Source organism: Homo sapiens, chromosome 7, assembly GCF_000001405.40.
Source record: "Homo sapiens chromosome 7, GRCh38.p14 Primary Assembly".
NCBI lineage: Eukaryota > Metazoa > Chordata > Mammalia > Primates > Hominidae > Homo > Homo sapiens.
The window spans coordinates 57,473,560-57,478,252 of NC_000007.14; the positions used below are offsets into that span (position 1 = coordinate 57,473,560).

Here is a 4,693-nt window from a genome sequence, read left to right on the forward strand (position 1 = left end):
AAGAAAGTTATGTAGCAAGTTATTGTGTTTGTGTGAGTTTTTATGTATTTTCACAAAAGAACAATATTGAAACAAAAAGATCATTTTAATAAGGTAGATAATTAACTAGAAACCTGGAAACCTCATATTCTGAAAACAAAATCTATATTATGTGCCTTGTATTGAATTCATTACTGTAAAATCTTTTGCCACCCAAATCTTATCTCAAATTGTAATCCCCACGTGTCAAGGGAGGGACTTGCTGGGAGGTGATTGGAACATGGGGGTAATTTTCCCCCATGCTGTTCTCATTATAATGAGTTCTGAAAAGATCCAATGGTTTTATAAGTGGCTTTTTTTTTTCTGTTCTCCCTCTCCCTTGCTGCCTAGTGAAGAAGGTGCTTGTTTTCCTTTGCCTTCCACCATAATTGTAGGTTTCTTGAGACCTCCCCAGCCATGCAGAATTGTGAGTAAATTAAACCTCCTTTTTATGTAAATTACCCAGTCTCTGGTAGTATCTTCATAGTAGTGTGAAAACAGAGTAATATAGAGCTCTGAAAAAGATAGGAAGATGTGAGAAAGTTTGGAACTTCCTAAAGATTGTTGAATGCTTTTGACCAAAATGCTAATAGTGATATGGATGATAAAGTCCTAGCTGAGGTGGTCTCAGATGGAGATGAGAAACTTCTGTTTAAAATGGAAGCAGAACATAAAAGTTTGGAAAATTTGCAGCCTGACCATGAGGTAGAAAGTAAAAACCCATTTTTTGGAAAGAAATTAAAGCCACTGCAGAAATTTGCAAAAGCAAAAAGGAGCTCAATGTTAATAGCCAAGACAATGGGGAAAATGTCTTCAGGTCATGTCAAAGATGTGAGACAGGTCCTTCCATCACAGACCAGGAGCCATAGGAGGAAACAATGGTTTCATGGTTGAGGCCAGGGCCCCACTGTTCTGTGAAGCCTTGGGACTTGGTGCCCTAATCCCAGCTGCTCCACATCCAGCTGTGGCTAAAAGGGGCCAAGGCCCAGCTTGGGCTATTTCTTTAGAAAGTGCAATCCTCAAGCCTTGGTGTCTTCCATGCAGTGTTGGGCATGTGAGTGCACATAAGACGAGAGTTGAGCTCTAGGAACCTCTGCCTAGATTTCAGATGATGTATAAAAATGCCTGGATATTCAGTCAGAAGTCTTCTACAGGGGCAGAGCCCTCATAAAATACCTGTGATAGGACAATGCTGAAGGGAAATGTAGGGTTGGAGCCCTCACGCAGAGTCCCCACTGAAGTTGCCTGCTGGAGTTGTGAGAAGGCCACTATGCTCCAGACCCCAGAATGACAGATCCACCATGATCTTGCACTGTGCATCTGGAAAAGCCACAGGCATTCAATTCTAGTCCATGAAGGAGCTTCCAAAGGCCATGAGGGCCCACCCTTTGCATCAGCGTGGCCCACATGTGAGACATGGAGTCAAATGAGAACATCTCAGACCTTTAAGAGTTACTGACTGCCCTGTTGGAATTCAAACTTGCATGGGGCCTGTAGCTCTTTGGTTTTGGCAAATTTCTCCCATTTGAAATGGAAGAATTTACCTAAGGCCTGTACCCCATTGTATCTTGGAAGTTACTAACTTGCTTTTGATTTACAGGCTCATCAGTAGCAGGGACTTGCCTTGTCTCAGATGAGACTTTGGACTTAGACTTTCAGGTTAATGCTAAAATGAGTTAAGACTTTGGGGGACTGTTGGGAAAACATGTTTGGTTTTGAAATATAAAATGGCATGAGATTTGGAAGGGGCCAGGAGCAGAATGATACCCATGGTGTTCTCACAGTGAGTGAATTCTCATGAGATCGGATGGTTTTATAAGTGGTCATTTTTCCTGCTCTCCCTCTCTCTTGCCACCCAGTGAAGAAGATACTTGCTTCTCCCTCACCTTCTCCCATTATCGTAAGGTTCTTGAGGCTTCCCCAGCCATATGGAACCATGAGTCAATTAAACTTCCTTTCAATATAAATTTTCCAGTCTTGGGTAGTATCTGTATAGCAGTATAAAAAGAGACTAATGCACAAATATATGATAGGGCTATCTGTATACTAGATGCTTCATAATTAGTCATAAATATTCCTGCTTGAGTGTCTGTAACTCTCAGTCACAGATGGGAAATATTAATGGTGATAAAATAACATTGATTATGCATGTGCAGAGGACATCTGTTCCCAGGCTGCAGAACAGCCTCTCTGAATTTACATAAAAATTCTGCCTTTTAAATTTTCTGATTATCTTTTGTGACCTTTTATGTTTATCCTAATGATGTATCCATCACAGCCCTTCCCCTTTTTTCTGTGTTATGGCTACGGTTTTCTCACTGTTCTCTCTGTGCCATGTCATTTCACACAGTACTTTGTAGGTTCTGATGAGAAGTTTGGAATTTTTTAAATTTTTTTTTTATTGAGACAGAGTCTTGCTCTGTTGCCCAAGCTGGAGTGCAGTGGCACATTCTCAGCTCACTGCAACCTCCGCCTCCTGGGTTCAAGTGATTCTCCTGCCTTAGCCCAAGTAGCTGGGATTACAGGTGCAAGCCACCATGCCTGGCTAATTTTTTTGTATTTTTAGTAGAGACGGGGTTTCACCTCATTAGCTAGGATGCTCTTGATCTCCTGACCTCATGTTCTGCCCACCTCGGCCTCCCAAAGTGCTGGGATTATAGGTGTGAGCCACCACACCCGGTCTGGAATTTTTTAATATGGTGAAAAACTGTGTTAAACTTGGGAGTTTGAGCTTATTTATAGCTTCTCAATGTAACTTCCAGATCAGTTAATTGAGATAAGAGGTATCCACTGTCCACAAGTGAGACAATTAAATCAGGTAGCGCTATTTGTCTTTGTAAAAAAAAAATTTTTTTTTAGATTCTAACACAGACTGTAGCATATACAAAATTATTTAGAAAATATATCTTAGAAATTAAATTTATAGGAGAGTTAATATTAAGGATAATTATTACATGTTATTTTTATGATATATTTATAGCACAACTTATGTTTTCATGCAGGATCTTGTATTTTTGAGTTTGAATGTTAAATGTTGCAAATAAAATGAGCTCTGTGATTTAAAATATGGAATAATATTTCTTTTTCATATTAATGTTACAATCTTGAGAGATTTTTCTATTATTTTATGATTATTTTTGAGTGGGTAAAGTTCACAGTCTACAGTTTCACTCTTAGTCACCTAACTGTAGCCAACATTTTGGTCATTTTCTCTGAGCAAATTTTGGAGATTATGGTAGCCTTTGGATTAAAACATTTACTCAGTTATTTTTCATGCAAAGATGTTTATTGTGTTCACACAGTGACCAATCATGCGACAGAGGGCAACCCCTGATTTTTAGTGTCTTCCGTTACATTGCCATCAGCACCAGAAACTAAAGGTGCCCAAGCTGAAAGTAAAAGCCCTAAAGCACATTGGCTCCTCCCATGCTCTGCTGGACCCAGAGTAGTAAATACTAGATTTTTCTATCGCTATTGCTGACAAGTTAAGTAACAAATAGCACAGAAAAACTGAGGAAAATGCATTGATACATTTTTTAGTTCTTTATAGTTTATAAAACTTAATAGTTTCTAAATTATTATATGTTAAAACAATTTGAACATGCAGATATCTATAAGTTCTATCTAGATGATGGTATTAATATTGTAATGCTTATAATATAGCAAGAATTATCCCATTTGGTTTACTGCAAAGTAGTTACTTCTCTTCTAAATGTAAGTAGTGAATAGGGTTTCTATGATCATAAGCATACAAGGTCTTTAAGATGATCACTAAGATTAGAATAAAATTCACAGGCTTAGGGCCGGGCGCGGTGGCTCTCGTCTGTAATCCCAGCACTCTGGGAGGCCGACGGATAACAATGTCAAGAGATCAAGACCATCCTGGCCAACATGATGAAACCCCATCTCTACTAAAAATACAAAAAAAAATTAGCAGGACAGGTGGCGGGTGCCTGTAGTCCCAGCTACGCAGGAGGCTGAGGCAGGAGAATTGCCTGAACCCAGGAGCTGGAGGTTGTAGTGAGCAGAGACTGCACCACTGAACTCCAGCCTGGTGACAGAGGGAGACTCCGTCTCAAAAATAAAATAAATAAATAATAAAAAAAATCATAGGCTTTCAGTAACATAAATTTTAATTATTTTCTAACAGAAGTGAAGAAGCAATAGAAATAAGTTGTTAAAATGAGTTCAAAGAAACTACACATGTGGTCATTAAATCACATTTGAAACCACATTGTAAGTGACTGGTTAGTAATTCTAATTTGTTTCATTTTAGTCACTGAGAAAACAATATTCTTTACTCATTCTATATGAAAAAGTATGTTTTTGGTTTTTTTTGAGATGGAGTCTCGCTTAGTCACCCAGGCTGCAGTGCAATGGCGTGACCTTGGCTCACTGCAACCTCCACCTCCTGGGTCCAAGCAATTTTCCTGTCTCAGCCTGATGAGTAGCTGGGATTACAGGCACGCGCCACCACGCTCGGCTAATTTTTGTGTTTTTAGTAGAGATGGGGTTTCACCATGTTGGTCAGGCTGGTCTCAAACTCCTGAACTCGTGACCTGCCCACTTTGGCCTCCCACAGTGCTAGGATTATAGGTTTGAGCCACTGCACCCGGTTTCATTGTAGCTTTTAATATAAAAGATATTTTTCAAAAGTACCATTAGTGACTCTTTT

The 4,693-nt window shown here is 39.3% G+C and overlaps 1 pseudogene; it reads left to right on the plus strand.

The window, feature by feature from the left end:
• On the plus strand, positions 3,063-3,933 carry VN1R29P (vomeronasal 1 receptor 29 pseudogene; annotated as a pseudogene).